Source organism: Homo sapiens, chromosome 5 (genome assembly GCF_000001405.40).
Source record: "Homo sapiens chromosome 5, GRCh38.p14 Primary Assembly".
In the NCBI taxonomy this organism is placed as follows: Eukaryota; Metazoa; Chordata; class Mammalia; order Primates; family Hominidae; genus Homo; species Homo sapiens.
In genome coordinates this window covers 115,952,605-115,970,661 of record NC_000005.10, presented here as the reverse complement: position 1 = coordinate 115,970,661, position 18,057 = coordinate 115,952,605, and the positions used below count along the sequence as shown (strand labels likewise).

The 18,057-nt window shown below is 41.1% G+C and overlaps 1 protein-coding gene and 1 long non-coding RNA gene across 5 annotated transcripts in view, besides 1 other annotated feature; both read right to left on the bottom strand.

The window, feature by feature from the left end:
- Positions 1 to 8,187, bottom strand: part of LVRN (laeverin) — a 65,132-nt gene extending 56,945 nt beyond the window's left edge. Inside the window, exon 1 of one of the 4 annotated variants that reach the window (NM_173800.5) lies at positions 7,350 to 8,187. In NM_173800.5, the coding sequence (NP_776161.3) occupies positions 7,350 to 8,044 (695 nt within the window). In that variant the 5' untranslated portion in view covers positions 8,045 to 8,187. Of the gene's footprint in view, positions 1 to 2,525; positions 4,915 to 5,960; positions 5,983 to 7,262; positions 7,283 to 7,349 lie in introns of those variants that run through there. The other 3 variants (XM_047416915.1, XM_047416913.1, XM_047416914.1) reach the window with 3 other exon arrangements.
- Positions 7,706 to 7,965: an enhancer, noted in NCBI's record as "active region_22940". NCBI's record gives its function as "activates an Ori minimal core promoter by ATAC-STARR-seq in GM12878 lymphoblastoid cells {active_cell/tissue: GM12878}" and the evidence as "EXISTENCE:reporter gene assay evidence [ECO:0000049][PMID:35858748]".
- Positions 8,188 to 12,060: 3,873 nt separating the features above from the next.
- LINCADL (lincRNA adipogenesis and lipogenesis associated) lies at positions 12,061 to 14,091 on the bottom strand. Its single transcript, NR_157226.1, has 2 exons — positions 13,742 to 14,091; positions 12,061 to 12,233 (listed from the first exon to the last, which is right to left on the bottom strand). It is a non-coding gene; the product is annotated as a lincRNA adipogenesis and lipogenesis associated (long non-coding RNA).
- Between the last annotated feature and the right edge of the window lie 3,966 nt (positions 14,092 to 18,057).

Genomic DNA, 18,057 nt, shown 5'->3' with positions numbered 1-18,057 from the left:
TGTAATCCCAGCACTTTGGGAGGCCAAGGTGAGTGGATCACAAGGTCAGAATATCGAGGCCATCTCGGCCAACATGGTGAAACCCCATCTCTACTGAAATACAAAAAAAAAATTAGCCAGGTGTGGTGGCGCGTGCCTGTAATCCCAGCTACTTGGGAGGCTGAGGCAGGGGAATCGCTTGAACCCATGAGGTGGAGGTTGCAGTGAGCTGAGATTGTGTCACTGTACTCCAGCCTGGTGACAGAGCAAGACTCCGTCTCAAAAAAAAAAAAAAAAAGAATGTATTTCAAAGTAATTCTACTGAACGAAAGAAGTTAGACATGAGAGTACATATTGTATGATTTTATTCATATAAAACACTACAAAACGCAAATTAATCTACAGAAAGCAGATCCATAATTGCCTGAAGATAAGAAGGTTACAGTGATGTAGAAAGGAGAGATTATAAAGAGCAGAAGAAACTTTTGGATGTGATGAATATGTTTATTAATATTGATTGTAGTGATGGTTTCACCACCACATATGTATATGTATGCCAAAACTTATCAAGTTTTGTACTTTAAATATGTGCAGTATATTGTATGTCAGTTATACTTTAATAAAGCTGTTTTAAAAATCATTAGAAATATAAAGAAGCAACAAAATGTGCATGATAACCCAGGAAAAAGAAGTTAATAGAAACAAAACAAAAAATGACAGAGATGCTAAACTTAGCAGAGAAGAACATTAAAACAGCTATTATAAATATGTCTAATATGCTCAAGGATATTAAAAATGAACATTACGAAGAATGGTATGAAAGATATAAGAATGTAGAAATGTTAAAGATAAAAATTATAATATCTTTTTTTTTTTTTTTTTTGAGATCGAGTCTCGCTCTGTTGCCCAGGCTGGAGTGCAGTGGCACGATCTCAGCTCACTGCAACCTCTGCCTCCCGAGTTCAAGCGATTCTTCTGCCTCAGCCTCATGAGTAGCTGGGACTACAGGTGCATGCCACCACACCTGGATAATTTTTTTTCGTATTTTTAGTAGAGACGGGGTTTCACTGTGTTAGCCAGGATGGTCTTGATCTCCTGACCTCGTGATCCACCTGCCTCGGCCTCCCAAAGTGCTGGGATTACAGGCGTGAGCCACCATACCAGGCCAAAAATTACAATATCTTAAATGACAATTTCACTGGATGAGACTAAAAGCAAACTAAACACTGCAGATGAAAATAATTAATGAAATTGAAAACAAAACAATGGGAACTATCCAAAATGAAACACACAGAGAAAACATACTAAAAAACAATGAAAAGAACCTCAGGACCTGCCTGTAATGTCAGGCAGCCTAATAGGTAATTGGAGTCCCAGAGAAGAGGAGAAAAAAAGTACAAAACAGGAAAAAAAAATTAATAATGGTTGAAAGTTTTTCCAAATGTGAAGAAAACCTTAAACCAGCAGATACAAGAAGCTCAGTGAATCCCAAAACAGGATAAACCAGGGCTCTTTTATTTCCTTAAGACATGAGAACTAAGACGCTTCCTCCTGTACACAAAGGCTATATTGAGAAAGAGGAGAGAAAGAGGAGACCTCTTGAAAGGAGAAGACTTTTTGAATTCATCAGATGGTATGACTTGTAAACCATTCCTTCATAACAGTCAAGGCTCAGTGGTTTCCATTGGGGATGGGGGCCCTCATCTGGGCTATTGCTTGAATGGCCAGTCCTCTGAGCCCGGCTGCAATTCCTTTCAAAGTCACATCTTGGATAACCACTCACACTCTACAGAACTTTCCTCCATGGGACTTTGTTTAATTGCATATCCCAGCTTAGCCTCCTTCCTTTCTCAGTCACACTTGCCCATTCTCCAGCTGATTTTTCCTGGGAATACTTACTGAAAAATTACTTTCATAGAAAAATTTGTCTGAGGGTTATACCGTCAGAAGGAGGAGGGTAGAAAGTAAAGACTCTGGCTTTCTCCATTTGTTCTTTTCTCTGTCTTCCCCCACCTTCCTCCCTGCATTAGAAGGACTGTCCACTCTCCTCTACTATACAGCAAGGGCTCTTATCAAAAAGGGTGGGGGACCAGATGGGCAACTGTCCTTCTAGCTAGTCAGGAGGCTGAGACAAGAGGATCACTTGGGCCTGAGAGTTTGGGACTGCAGTGAGCTATGATTGTGCCCCTGCATTCCAGCCTCAGTGACAGAGTGAGATCCCATCTCTGAAAAAAAAAAAAAAAAAGGGTGGGGAACTAAGGCTGGCTCAATATTTTCAAAAATCAATCAATATAATACCCATATTAACAGGCTCAAGAAGAAAAAATATCACATGATTATATCAATTTATGCAGAAAAAGTGTTAGAAAAATTCAACATGCATTCATGCAAAAGAAACTCTCAGAAAAAAATATGAATAGAAGACAACTTTCTCAACTTGATAAAAAACATATACAGAAACCTACATTTAATATTATGCTCAGTTGTAAAGGCTAAAAACTTTCCCACTAAGATGAGGAGAAAAAAGCAAGAATGTTCATTCTTACCACTCATGTTTAACACAGTGCTGGAAGTTTTACCCAACACAATCAGGCAGGAAAAGAAAATAAATGGCAGATAGATTGAAATTGAAGAAATAAAACTGTCTCCGTTTGTTGACAACATGATGATCTATGTAGACAATTCCAAGGGCTCTACAAAATAAAACACACAAAGCTCTAGATCTCATGAGTTCAGCAAGAGAACAGGATACAAGATCAACATACAAAGCAGCATTTCTATATAGTAGCAACAGACATGTAGAAAACCAAAATTAAACATATAATACCATTTACTATTTCTGAAATAAACTTAAATATTTAAGTGTGAATCTAACAAAATGTGTAGGATTTGTATGCTAAAAATGATAAAATTCTGATGAAATCAAAGATCTAAATAAATGGACATTTAATGCTCATAGAATGGAATATTAAGGATAGCAAAGCTAGCAATTCTCCCTAAATTTACATAAAGGTTTAACATAGGTCCTATCAAAATCCTAATAAGATTTTTAGTAGCTATATATAAGAATATCATAAAATATATAAAGAAAGGCAAAGGAACTAAAATAGTTAAAACAATTCTAAAAAAAGACAATTTCAAGACTTATTGTATAGCTGCAGTAAGCAAGACTATGTAGTACTGGCACAGGAATCAACACCTATGTTGATGGAACAGAATAGAGAATCCAGTAATAGTGGGGCCAACTGATTTTTGACAAAGGTGCAAAAGCAATTCAATAGTGGGAGGATACTCTTTTCAACAAATGATGCTGGAAAAAATGGATATCCATAGGCAAAAGAATTAACCTCAACCTAAACATAACATCTTAAAAAATCATCTCAAAGTGGATTATAGATTTAAATGTAAAACACTTTCGGAAGACAACATAGAAAATCTGCAGAACCTAGGGCTTGGTGAAGAGTTCTCAGGCATGACACCAACAGCATGATCCATTAAAAAATAGACAAATTGGACTTCATCAAAATTAAAGTAAAACTTTTATTTAAAACTTTTATTCTCTGAAAGACCTTACTAAGATGATGAAAAGACAAGCTATAGGCTGGGAGAACATATTTGCAAACCATATATATCTCACAAAAGACTTAGATCTAGAATATATAAAGAACTTCCAGAATTCAACAGTAAAAAATAAAATCTATTAGAAAATAAGAAAAGACGTGAAGAGACATTTCACTGACTGATATACAGATGGCAAATAAGCACACAAAAAAATGTTTAACATCATTAGTCATTGGAGACATGCAAATTAAAACCACAATGAGATATTACCATACACCTATCAGGACAGCTAAAATATAGTGACAATACCAAATGATGGCCATGATACAGAGAACATCTATCACTCATATATTGCTGGTAGGAGTATAAAATGGTATAGCCACTTTGAAAAACAATTTGGCAATTTCTTAAGGACTAAACATGCAACTACCATATGACGCAGCAATGACACTTGTGAACATTTGTCCCAGTGAAATAAATACTGTGTTCACACAAAAACCTGTACAAGTGCTTTGGGAGGCAAAGGTAGGAGGATCCCTTGGGGCCAGAAGTATGAGGCTAGCCTGGGCAACATAGAGGGACCCCGCCTCTTAAAGAGAAAAACTTGTACACAATTATTCATAGAAGATTTATTTGTAAAACCAAAAACTGGAAACAACTAAAATAACCCTCAATCGATGAATGACTAAATAAACTTTCATACATCCATACCATGGAATAGTACTTAGCAATAAAAAGACTCAAACTATTGATGCATACTTGGATGGATCGCAAGGGCATTATGCTGAGTCAGAAAGGTCTAAAGGATATAATTCCATTTATAGAACATTCTCAAAATGACAAAATTACAAAGATGGAACGGATTAGTGGTTGTCAGGGGTTAGAGATGATTAGGAGTGGTATGAGTGCATAAAAAGGAGAAGTATGGGAATGATCTTTAAGGTGGAACAGTTCTGTATCTTTATTGTGGTAGTTTTTGCGCAAATGTACGCATATGATAAATGACACAAAGACATATATATGCATAGTACCAATGTCAAATTCTTGATTTTGATATTGTACTATAATTATGTAAGATAAACTAGATGAAGGGTACCTAGGACCTCTCTATATTATCTTTGCAACTTCTGGTGAATCTATAATTATTTCAAAATAAAAAGTTAGAAAAAAGTATGAGATACCATATTAGTCCGTACTCATGCTGCTATGAAGAAATACCCAAGACTGGGTAATTTATAAAGAAAAGGAGTTTAATTGACTCACAGTTCTGCATGGCTGGGAAGGCCTCAGGAAACTTATAGTCATGGCAGGAGATGAAGGGGAAGAAAGGGGAAGAAAGGTACTTTCTTCACAGGGCAGCAAGACAGAGTGAATGCAAGCAGGGGAAATGCCAGAGGCTCATAAAACCATCAGATCTCATGAGATTCACTCACTATCAGGAGAACAGCATGGGGGAAACCACCCCCATGTTCCAATTACCTCCCACTGGGTTATGGGAACTACAATTCAAGATGAGATTTGCGTGGGGACACAACAAAACCATATGAGGTGCCAATAGTAGGCATCAGAATTATCTGAGACAATCGTCAAAACGTATAAATTTCTAAACTCCATTCTAAACTCCCTGATCTATAATTTATTTTTGCTCATTAAAAATTTTTAATTCTAGTAAAATACACATAACATAAAGTTTACCACTTTAACCATTTTTAAGTGTATAATAGTTCAGTAGTGTTAAGAACATTCACATTGTTGTCAACCTATCTCCAGAACTCTTATCACCTTACAAAACTAAAATCTATACCCATTAAGCAATAACTCCCCACTCCCCAGCTTCTGCCTTCTTCTCCTCTGGGAATCTTCTTAGACTCATATATACCAGGAACTTGGCAGGTTCTGCGTTTAGATAACAAGGAAGCTGATCATAATGATAATCCAACCTAAGGATAGCAGTTACCACTATCCAGGCTGTATGTGTCACTGTGTACTCCCTTTTTCATTTAATTCTCACAGTACTCTAATAGTTGACAGTTATTATATCTATTCCGTGAATGAGGAAACAGACTCAGAGAGGTTAAGAGACTAGCTCAATTCACACAGCTCAGGTTCAAACTCAGGCCTGCTGGGCTCCCAGAATCTGGCGTACCACAAGCCATCCTTCTGTTGCAGGTTCTTCATGACCCTGGCTTCAAGCTTAACCTTAGGTGTCTTTTCCTTGTGGTTTCAGAAGCAGAGACCCAAAGGGTAACAACTCTTCCAAAACATCACAATTTTGGAGCTCTACCTTGGTTTATGAACATCTGTAGAACTTTATTAAGATTTCTTCTTGCTTGAATTTTAATGTTCTGAAAATATGGTTTCTAGTTAACACTAGAGTTAGCAACACAATAGAAAAATTGAACGGGACTTCCCTTTCCCACATTTGCAAGCTTGACTGGGCCACAGCCCCACTGAAACAGGACCAAGGAAGAGGTAGGTGAACAGAGGAGGATTTACTGACCTACAGCAAGAAAAAAAAAAAAGTCAGATATGTAGGTGAAGTGTTTCTATTTTTTCCTCTGAAATATTTTGCACCCTGACCTACACAGTAATTTCAAAAGATTTCTTCACAAGTTGAGTAACACATCATCTAAATAAGAAAATTTCAAAACTATTTTTTCAAGCATTGATGTATTTTTTAAAGAAAAACCAAGCACGCTGCCCTTAAAAACAAAAGTTACAGATTATACATCCACTAGAGCAACTCTTTAAACTTATTTAGAAACCTTTGAAATTTTGAAAGTAGTGCAGGAGATGGTGCAGGGTGTAATTTAGTGGGATTCTTTCCCTCAGAGAACATCTGAGAACATTTTCTCTAATAATAAAGGGCAAAGTACATGCAGTTGTGTACGGCGCAAATGCTCCACCAGTGTGTGAGTGGACAAAGAGATCGCCGGTTGGAAAAAAAATAAATTTTGATATCTCCCACTTAAGCTATTTCCCTGGAGTTCGCCGGAGGACAGTATTGTGGTCTCAGAGCGTGGAAAGAGACAATTCTTGTGCAGGGGCAGGAAACATTCCGTGTAGGAGATATTATCTCAAATGAGTGTAAAAAGAACACATGTCTGCATTTCTAACAAGCGCCCAGGTTACAGCTGCTGCTGGCCCAAGGACCAACCTTTGAGGGGCAAGCGGTTTGTTGAATGGGGTGAAGAAATTTCCGGCTAGAGAGGAAAGGTGCTTTCTGAAGAGAACGATAAGCTTCAGGGGTACCAGCGACCTAAAAAGGGGCAGCAATAGAAACAAACGGGATGAGCAGATACAGGGTTGAAAACTGGCCAGAGGAAGGACCGCGGTCTCCGCCGTCTCTTTATTCGGAGCAAGGTTATAGGAAAAGGGAGAAAGGAGGCGCTCGCACTCTGTCTGGCTTTGAAAGAAAACGTCGCGGTGTGTGATGTTCCCCTTCCTGTGTCCAAGTGTTCTCATTGTTCAATTCCTACCTATGGGTGAGAACATGCGCTGTTTGGTTTTTTGTCCTTGCGATAGTTTGCATTGGGAGATATACCTAATGGGTATATTTCTTAATGGGTGCAGCACACCAATATGGCACACGTATACATATGTAACAAACCTGCACGTTGTGCACATGTACCCTAGAACTTAAAGTATAATAAAATAAATAAATAAAAAGAAAAAAGAAAACGTCGCAAGGGGATTCTTTGGAAAGGGCAGCAGACGCGCACCTGGACACGGTAGTCAGCTGGACCCGCAGCCTGCACCGGGACGCAGGGGCGGGGGCCGAGAGGGGCCCCGGGCTGTACAGCCCTTACCTGCGCTCGCCCTGGTCGGTGTAGACGTTGAGGAAGAGTCCCTCCCTGAGGTCTTCCTTCACCAGGCCCGAGAAGCTAAGCTGCAGCTCGTAGCTGCTACCAGGTTTCAGGGGCTCACTGAGCTCCAGCACCATGTATTCCGTGTCCAGCGCGAACCACACGTCGTCCACGGGCACGCGGCCCACTGTGGCGTTCCCAGTGCCCGGGGAAAGGGGTCCCCGCACCTCGGCGCGCTCGCAGTCCTGGAAGAGGCTATGCAGCAGCAGTCGAGAGGTGGCCACCGTGCAGCGCACCGTGATGTTCACGCGGCCAGTGAAGGGCAAAGACCCGGCCGGAAGCTCGTCGGGCCTCAGCTGCGGCCACAGCTCCAGATCGTAGTGCAGCGGCACGAGCCAGGGCGGCAGGCGTAGCTGGTCCCAGGGCCCCGGGGGTCGCCAGTTGCTCGGGGTGGTCGTCACCGCTAGCTCGCGTGCACTGCTGGGTTTCGGGGTTGGCGTCGGCTTCTGCCTGAGGGGAGGGGAAGACTCGGCTTCCAAGTCCCTGAGTCCAGGCAGCTCCGACGGTGGGACGCGCTCGCAGTGGCCGTACAAGGCGGCGAGTACGGCCAGCGCCAGCAGGAGGGCGGCTACCAGCCCAGCCAGCAGCAGGGCCACTGCGCGGCTCACATAGAAGCCTGAGCTGGAAGGGGGCCCCATGGCAGGGACCGGGTTCAGGCGCGAGGCTGGAGCTCAGAGACTGTGGCAGCTGTCAAAACCCCGGCCAGGGTGTTCAGTGCTGCGACCCCTGCCCCTCCTCTCTTGTATCGTGCCTCTTCCTCCTGGAAGAGCCTGGACGGACTGGAGCTCAGCAGACAGCGGTTGGGACCATGGCTTCCCCCTCCCAGCTAATCAGACACAGGTCCCAGCCTACCCACCCCCGCCCCCGGCCAGCGCCAGGGAAGAGGCGGACCTGGCTCACCCAGACGCGTACCCCTTTGGGTTCGAAGAGACAGACCCCACGGAAGATGCCTCCAGGGTTGGCGCGGGGAGGGGGTGGTCAAGCCAAACGAATCCGGACACCTTAAACGTGGATATTTGGATGAGGGGTGTGCCCCGATACGGTTTCAGGTGTTGTCGGAAAGGGGACAGGTACCAAGCACCTCTATCTCCAAGCCAGCGATGAGCTACCAGCAACACACCTGCTCCACCGCCAGCTGGGGCTTCGTGTGCTAGGGGGTGGTAAGGGCTTGAGGACCAGGATATTTGGGAATGCGTTCAGAAATGACCCTGCAGGGCGTCGGCCGCGCCGTCAGAACAAATTTCTGGAGCCAAATGTGTGGCGCTAACTTCGCTTCCTAAATAAGCCCAGGAGGCATGCGGCCCAGGCAGCGAAGGCGAAGATGGAAACAACGTCCGGAGGCCCGGAACTTTTCCAGAGCTCAGGAAGCCAGGCTGGAGGAAGAGGCGACAAAGTGCTAGGGAGCCTGGCGTCTGCGTCTCCCGGGTGAAATGGGGTTGTGGGGCAGAGCAGGGTTAGGACCGCGTTACCACAAGAAGGGGCCTGGCGGGATGGTTTTTCTTAGCTCTGCAACTGCCTGGGGCCGGGGTTTCCCTTCCTGAAGCCGGGGGAGAGGGGACACCTGCTTTCAGAACCGACTCGAATCAAGCAAAGAGAATAAAACAATTCGGCGGCCAGTGTTTCCACCCAGAAATTCCTGGGCTGGAACTGGTTTTCCCGGCGGTACCCTAGTCGCTGAGGCTTTCACATGTTTGACATGGCATCTGTTTGCTATTTAGCTGGTGCCCCTGAGCGAATTCTTGGCGTCTGCGCTGGATCTGGAGTCTGCATTCACGCACGCTGGTGAATTGGGAATGAGATTGCAAGCATCAGGAGGCACTGGGGACGGAAGGGAAGGTAGTTAGATCCCACTGCAGGCTGAAGATTTTAAACTATCCCGTCTTGAGACTCGCGCGCGTGTGTGTGTGTGTGTGTGTGTGTGTGTGTGTGTGTTACAGCGAAAATATAATAATTTTTCCATAGCAGCTATAAAACGGTGTTCGCTTTACTACTGCTTTGGCTGTATCTCACTTGCAATGAGGAAACCCTTTCGCCTGGGTTCAGAGATGGGGTAGACCACGGTGATTCTCCTGGGAAATGAGTGCTTTCTTGTTCCTTGAACTGAAGTGAATCAAATGAACACCACCACCATCACCCTCTGGAATAAGACAGGAAAGTGGAAGGAGATATATTAAGCTCACGCAGATAGTTGTGCTATAATCTGTGAACCAGTCCACATTAAGACCATATGACTTATTTTTCTGGATTTGCTTTGTTCAGAAACTTAAGGATTATATTTAAAAATAATTATGACCACATGCATCACTCTCAGAAGATCATAGATAGAGCTGAGGGAGAAGCTCTGTCTATTTCCATATACCTACCACAAGTTGTGCTGTCAGAATTTGAGCTACTGCGCTAGCAGGGGCATCTCAGTTTAGGTCATATTCAGCTTGGGATTGGGACAGCTGTGGCACTAATTAACTAATTACTGGCCTTAACAACCCGTGGGCAATTTCTTGAAGGATTTCGAAGGATTTCCAGACACTCAAGGAAAGGTAAAAATGAAAGGAAGTCAGTAACATGATTATTTCAAACATATTAAAGGTATTCCTCCCCTCAGTTAAGTACATATATGGACACTAGCATTTAATTCCATTTTTCTAATATGATTAAAGAAACAGAGATTGGCTTCCACACAAAAAGTTTCAAAGTAATAAAGTCACACCAAATGATTCAGCAATTTAAGTATCTTATTAAAGGGAAAATATTTCTGATAAATCATTAATGTCACTCCAAAGACGTTGCAAAATAACATACTGGCTGAGTCAAGATTTTAATAATAAAGAACTGGAAAAGTATTATATGAAATATTTGACATCTCAATGAAAAAGTAGTTCGGGAATATAGACCAGTTGCTAGGAAAACATTTTCTAGAGCTGCTCAGAAAATCTGCTTATTCAGAGCAATGGAAGCGGTGATTCTCAACTGGGCATAATTTTTGTGCCCTTGCCATGACCAGCACCTCATTTGACAATGTTTGGACATATTTTTGGTTGTCACAACTCAAGGAAGCAAGTACTACTGGTATTAAGTGGGTAGAGGCAAGCTGTCCTCCAACAATGCACTGGACAGCCTGCCACAACAAAGAAGTATCCTGCCACAACAAAGAAGTATCCTGCCACAACAAAGAAGTATCCTGCCAAAAATGTCATTAGTGCTGCTGTTCAGAAATCCTGAACTAAAGCAACAATCCCAGTTTTTTACATGCTACCCAGGTAGAACTTCAGCTTTGTATCTTGTGCTGCTATTTATTTTTGTTGTTTATGTTTATACTTTGGCATGTCTATTATTTTTCCATCTTAATTTCTTGGTACTTAGTATAAAACCCTATAATATTTTATTATATCTCTTAGACCACATAACTTGATTTTTCTTTTCTTTTTTGTTTACCCTGAAATTTTAATTTTTTGAGTGGGTAATTTGTTTCAAAAATCAAAACAATATGAATTTTTTTTTTTACTTTTTAATTATTATTTTTCCATAAATTATTGGGGGTACAGGTGGTATTTGGTTACATGGATAGTTCTTTGGTGGTGATTTGTGAGATCCTGGTGCACCTATCACCCAAGTGGTATACACTGCACCATATTTGTTTTATTCCTTGCTCCCTTCCACTCTTTTATGCCTCACTCCCTCCCACTCTTCCCCCCAAGTTCCCAGAGTCCATTATATCGTTCTTATGCCTTTGCATCCTCATAGCTTAGCTCCCACGTATCAGTGGGAACATACGATGTTTGGTTTTCCATTCCTGAGTTCCTTCACTAGAATAATAGCCTCCAATCTCATCCAGGTCATTCCAAATGCTGTTAGTTCATTCCTTTTTATGGCTGAGTAGTATTCCATTGTATATATACACCACAGTTTCTTTATCCACTCGTTGATTGATTGGCATTTGGGTTGCTTCCATGATTTTGCAACTGTGAATTGTGCTGCTATAAACATGTGTGTGCAAGTATCTTCAATATGAAAATTTATATGTTAAGATATCTTGCTTCCATCACTTCCATAGTTAATCATTTTAAATAGTTTTTTGTGTGTGTAACCTTCCAGTGTTTCCTCATGCAAATCAAGTGAATACAATTATATGCCCTTGTATTTCTCTCTTTTGTACAAGAAAAACAGTATACTATATTGCAGTTCCTCACCTGCATTTTCATTTAACAATATATTCTAGATATCTTTTCATATCAGTCCACAGATACATTTCACATACTTTTCTGCAGCTGTATAGTATTATATTGTATAGTTACACCATTGCAAAGACTTCCCCAGTTTGGTTATTTGCATGGATTCACCAGATTCCACAGAGTATATTCATATAGGCATTTACTTAAAGGCAAAGGATATGGTATAGCAAGAGAAAGAGAGTACAGGCGAGCACTGGAGGTCAGAGAGACATCCAATGTGCAAAGAAAGAAGAGCCTTTATTTGCACAAATGGCCATGCTGTGTCACCAGCTTGAGCTACTGATGTCTGTGAGAGAAATCTTTTCTAGAAAGACGTTATAGTGAAATGGCCCAACGGGTTCGCCTTGCCCACTGCCCAGATACAGCTAATGTATCAAGACAGGAGAACTGCTATAGAGAAAGAATTTAATTCACAGACAGCCAGCTAAATGGGAGACTAGAGTTTTATTACTCAAATCGGTCGCCTTGAACATTTGGAGACCAGGGCTTTTAAGGAGAATTTGGTGGGTAGGGATCAAGGAGTATGGAGTGCTGGATGAGTGGATCAAAGATGAAATCATAGGGGCTCAAAGTGGCTTCTTCTTGCTGTCTTCTTTTCCTGGGTGGGATTGCAAAACTGGTTAGGCCAGATTATCAGTCTGGGTGGCACCAGCTGGTATATCAGAACTCAGGGTCCAAAAAACATCTCAAGCACCAATTTTAGATGTTACAATAGTGATGTTATGCCTAGGAGCAACTGGGGAGGTTCAGAATCTTATGGCCTCTAGCTCCATGACTCCCTAAACCAGAATTTCTTGTATTATGGCTAATTTGTTAGTCTTACAAAGACAGTGTGCTCTCTAGGTAAGAAGGAGGTTTATTTCATGAGGGAGTTATTATCATCTTTGTTTCAATGTTAACCTATAAACTAAGTTTCTCTCAAAGCTAGTTTGGCCTATGCTCTGGAATAAACAAGGACAGATTGGAGGTTAGAAGCAAGATGGAGTTGGTTAGGTCAGATCGCTTTCACTGTCATAATTTTCCCACTGTTATAATTTTTGCAAAGGCAGTATCAAAAGGTGAAATTACTAGTAAGTCCAGTTGCAGTTTCAAACCCATAAGTCCAGAAGGCAGGCTGGTAACGCCATGGATTCATAATGACCAGTGACCAGCCCCTGCTGTGCCTCCAGTCCTACCACTTTTCTCTAATGTCTTGCTTTTTCACTATCTGCCACTATTTTCACACCTTCACCACCTTCCTCACTTATAATTTCCTCCTCCTTCCCCCTTGCCTCCTACTTCACAGAGCACACAGAAGTCAGTAATTGGGAACCACTTCAACTTTCCATACCAGACCTATCTTCATCCACACCCATCTTTTCTTCTCTCTGGACACAACAAATAACATGTGCTTCTTGTCCAAGGTCAGTTCACTCACTTAGGTTCTGAATCTTATTCTCTCTAATTTTCTTGGATATCTTATGCTTTTTTTCTTCTTCTTCTTTTTTGAGACGGAGTCTCTCTCTGTCACCCAGGCTAGAGTGCAGTGGCACGATCTTGGCTCACTACAACCTCTGCCTCCCTAGGTTCAAGGGATTCTTCTCCTGTCTCAGCCAGCCAAGTAGCTGAGATTACAGGCATGAGCCACCACACTCGGCTAATTTTTGTATTTTTAGTACAGACGGGGTTTCACCATGTTGGCCAGGGTGGTCTCGAACTCCTGACCTCGTGAAACATTTTCCCCCCGCCCGGCCTCCCAAAGTGCTGAGATTACAGGCATGAGCCACCTCGCCCAGCTATATTTTGCTATCTATTAATCTTACTCTTTCTCACTCTTACTCCAACTTTCTTTCCTCTCCCTCTCTGTCACACTCTCTCTTCTTGTTTAAACATGCTGACGTCTGTAGTTTTTAAAAAGATGCTTCCTTGATCTCCTATGCCTGCCCATCCATTATTCTATCTCCTGTATAGCAAAACTTCTTTAAAGAGTATGTGCTTTTGTTGTCTCTATTTTCTCCCCTGTTACTCTTCAAATTATTCCCAATGAAATTCCAACCCTATCATCTCTTAAAACTTCTCAGTCTAAGATCACTCTAATGTCCACATGTCTAAAGCCAAAGTTCCCACCTTATTTGGCCTCTGCAGCATTCATCACAGCGAATCACTCCCTTCTGTTTGACTTCTGGGACCATCTCCCCTTGGTTGATTCTCTCTTCTCTGGCCCATCTTTTCAGATACTTTCGTTTGCCTTTTCTTCTACCCAAACATTAAATATCGGAGTTCTTCAAGGCCTGGTCTTGGGTCATATTTTCTTCTGACTCTGTGCTCTTTCCCTGAGTGATGCCATCCTGTCCCATAGGTTCAGAAACCACACATATGCTGATGAATCCTGTGTTTATGTCTGCAACCTCAACCCCTGTATCCACTGGCTCCTTGGCATTGGTGTTGACTGTGTCACAGGCTCCTCGGTCTGAACTGGACTCAGTTCTTTCTCTCAACCTTTCACCCCGCAATATCTGCTGCTCTTCCAATTCCTCCAATATTTTCTTTCTTGGGAAATGGTATCTCCCTTCCCACCCCCAGTTGCTCAAGCCAGAAAGTTGGGAGTTAGCCATGTTTCCTCCCTCTTCTTCACTCCTCACATGGAATCAATTGCCAAGTTTATCAGTTTTACCTCCAAGATATCTCTTTAATATTCTCTCCCCTCAGTGCCTCAACACACTCCCCTGCCACGCTAACATCACCCCTGACTTCGTGCCCTGCAGAAGCCTCTTAACTTTTCTCCTGATATAGGATTGCTAATTTCGAGGCCCATCTTATCAACAGGACTGTTTACTCCATGAAGGCAAAGATAAGGGCTGTCCTATTCATCACTTTATTTACTGTTCCTGTTACACTGCTTGGCATAGTATATGCCTAATTAGTCTTTTATAAAATTTGGGAAAGAATATAAGATTCCTGAATTCCAATTAACTACGATTTCACTTTAAGCGAACACATCTTTTACTTAGCCCCAAATCCAAAAGCAAGAAAAAAATCTTCCCAATAATGAGAGCAAAAGATGTCACAAATTTATGTACTTTGCATTACTGCAGTCCTATGAAGATATCTTCAGAACCTTGGAGCACAGGAGGGATATGGATGGGGAAATCATGTTGCTTGCTCCTATCACACAGCTGTTTGGTGGAAGAGTAGTATCTAGAACTCCAGGCTTCCCGCTCCCATTCCAGTCCCTTTTTCCCTCATTGTCACAGATAGGACCTATTAATGCAGCAATATACACAAAATTAATCTTACTGTCCTAAGAACTTTATTTAGCTTCCCCTGGAAATCCTGGAATTCTGCCTAGGTTATAACTATCATTCACCAGGAGCAGCAGGCTATAAACAGGTAGAAGTGGGAGTAGAAACTAGCACACTGAGTAGTAATGAGGTTACCCTGAGTTGTCCAGGACAAAATCAACAGAGGTATTTGGTTATATTCTGCCTACCCTGTTTTAGGAGAATGAAAAATGTAAGATTTTCTCACAGAAATAGTTAACATAAAAAATTGGAGGTGGGGTAGGGTTCTTGCCTACAAAATTTATTTAGGTAGAGCAGTTCATTTTTCCTGGGAATACCTGATAAACTACAAGTTATTGTTTAATGGAAAAAGTTACAAATTCAATGAACAAGTTTTGACAGTCCACTTTCTCCTCTTTGTTCCAACTCTATTTATTACCATGGAAGTTATATCTACTAGCATAGATTCAGCTTCAAGAATGTTATTACTAAGGCCAAGAATCACTTTCAAAAACTAGAGGACTGGAGAAGATAAGATTAATGCATATAATTAAAATGTTTAAATCCAAATTAAATCTATCTTCGAAGATAAAATCAAAAGGTCTATGATTTCCCGTGCTTTTTGGCTGTGATTATGTAATCCATTTTCCAATTATTATCCAATGGCTTTATAACTCATAAGGCTGATTGTTGATTTATATCACGGGTTATTAAAGCATGTATATTTATATATATACCCATATATATATATGGCTAATTTTACCCCACTGTTTTTATTTTCAGCACAACACCACTGCTTCATACATTTTTTTTCTTCCTAGGACTCAGGTTAGCTTTTCTAAGTGTTCACACAGGCTTGAATTAGCAAGAATTATAATTGTTACAACTATATTGAGGTCATAAAGTCCCTACAAACTAGGCAGCTCCACTTTACTTGATCTACTTAGTCTGCAGTTCTGCTCGAAAGGTGCAATTGCATCAATTGCTACATAAGAGATGTTTGGACACTTCTATAGTGCCATGAACATTATAAACTAGAAAAATATGTTCTTAAAAATGTTCTTTGTTACAGAAGCGTTTCTACCTAATCTTTTAACTTTCTTCCTTTCTTTGCAGAAGAAATGCTAAATCTATCGTGCCCACTTCATTAATCATGGAAAAAGAGGCTGGTGATCAGCTTGACAAATTGTAACCAATGTGCTGGTTCTACCAATGTATGTAGCAGAAGAGCATATATATTGCTATCTCATGTGGAGCTCTTATGTGCCACTCACTCTAGCAAGCACTTTAATGTATATGCATTTCATTTACTCCTTAAAACAGTTCTACAGGCCTTTGTTTTTATCTCCATTGAACAAGAATGGAAACTGGGGCTCAATGAGCTTCAGCAATTTGCTTAAAAATACAGAGCTGATAACAGGCAGAGTCAGCATTTAAACCCAGGTCTCTGAGCCCTGCCTGAAGTCCATGCTACTTCCATCACTCAGCATGTGTGATGTTTAGAATCTTTCTGTTTATTCACTAATCTTAAGAATCTTTCTGTTTATTCACTAATGTTTGAAAATGGCATTTAAATGAAGCAAAAAGAAACATTTAAAATGTGCAGAATATATTTATTAAAAAAGAAAGGAAATTTTTCGATATCTTCAAGTTTCATTATTCTTATTGACCTTCTTTGACTGGCTTCCTTTTTCCTTGAAGTTACCTGATTCCAGGCTCTGCCTCAGCCAATCTCCATCTCCAGTTACACTATCAGTTCCACTTTCTCATAACGGCAGCATTCTATATTGGTTTTGTATCACACAGTTAATCTGATGGAGCAGTTTAAAGCATTCTATATTACCAAAGGGGTTATGAAACACAAATGTTGTATCCCATGGCCTTAATAAGAGGGACATAAATCCCTAAAACACCAAAGCCTGAAGAATAAATAGTAGCAGCTGGGGAAATGTAAAAGGAAAAGTTAGATTTTGCATGTTTTCCATGGAAGTTTTAAAAAATCACCTCAGTTAGACAACTCATGCACTTTGTGGAAACATTACAATGTTATTACTGACATCATCTGTGCTGGCCTGTGCCACCTTGCTTAATTCCACCTAGGACTAGCCAGCTAGCCTGGCATCACTCATTCCAACAGGGCCACTCCCCTTCATTTATTAGTATGTTTACCAATAGTCACTTGGGGAACTGTTTCTCCTTCAATCCCTCCAGGGTTCAACATTAAAGTTATGAAGACAGAAGCAGCTAGTTCAGCTGGGTCATCATAAAAGTCCAGGAGAAGCAAGACGAAAAGAAAGAAAATTAAATGACGAAACAAAGGAGGAAAACCTCCCAGCAGAGAGATGCTGGTGAAAAGCAGTTTGCTACACTGGCCAATGATGTAGCTTGGGGAAAATTTTGCCGCAAGTATTTGCTAAGTACTGAATTTAATTAAAGTAGCCTTGTTGACCAAAACCACAATCCACTATTAAATGTTTGTGTGAAAAGCACTGGAAATGAGATCTGTATTTTCTAATAACCATGACAAGCTTTTTAAAAAAGAAACAATAAAAGCATTCATGGGAAAAGGGTACCTGCTGCCATATTTGCCACCGTGAGTTCCCTCTACTTGCTCCGACAAAGCAACTTACTTCAATTATAATTGGAATTTCATTTGGTTTTCTTTAGACACAATTATCTATTCCAAAATATTTGTTATATATATGCCAGATTCTGGGCTAGGGAAGTTGAGACATGTACACAAATAATTATAATACATGATGAAATGCAATTGTGATCAGAAGACTGTGAGCTATATTCAATACCAAGAATATAACTCTCGGTATTGAATTACAATACCAAGAAGTACGAGGCACTCTCTAGAAAGGAACCTTCACTGGCTGTCAGACAGATGCCAGGGGAGGCCTCACTGCATAATAGCTAAGCGCGTAGACCTGGGAACTGGGCAAACCTGGATTCAACCTGTCTGCCATTAATCAGTTGTGTTGTCTGGGACAGGTTTATTGCCTTCTCAAAGATATAATTGCCTCATTCATAAAAGGGAGACAAAATGCTGCTTACTTCACAGGGTGCTTATGAAGATTAACTAAAATAATCTAGATGGTGCCTTGTCCACAGCAGTGCTAAAGAAATAGTCCTACTAGTATTACTGAGCTTGATGTA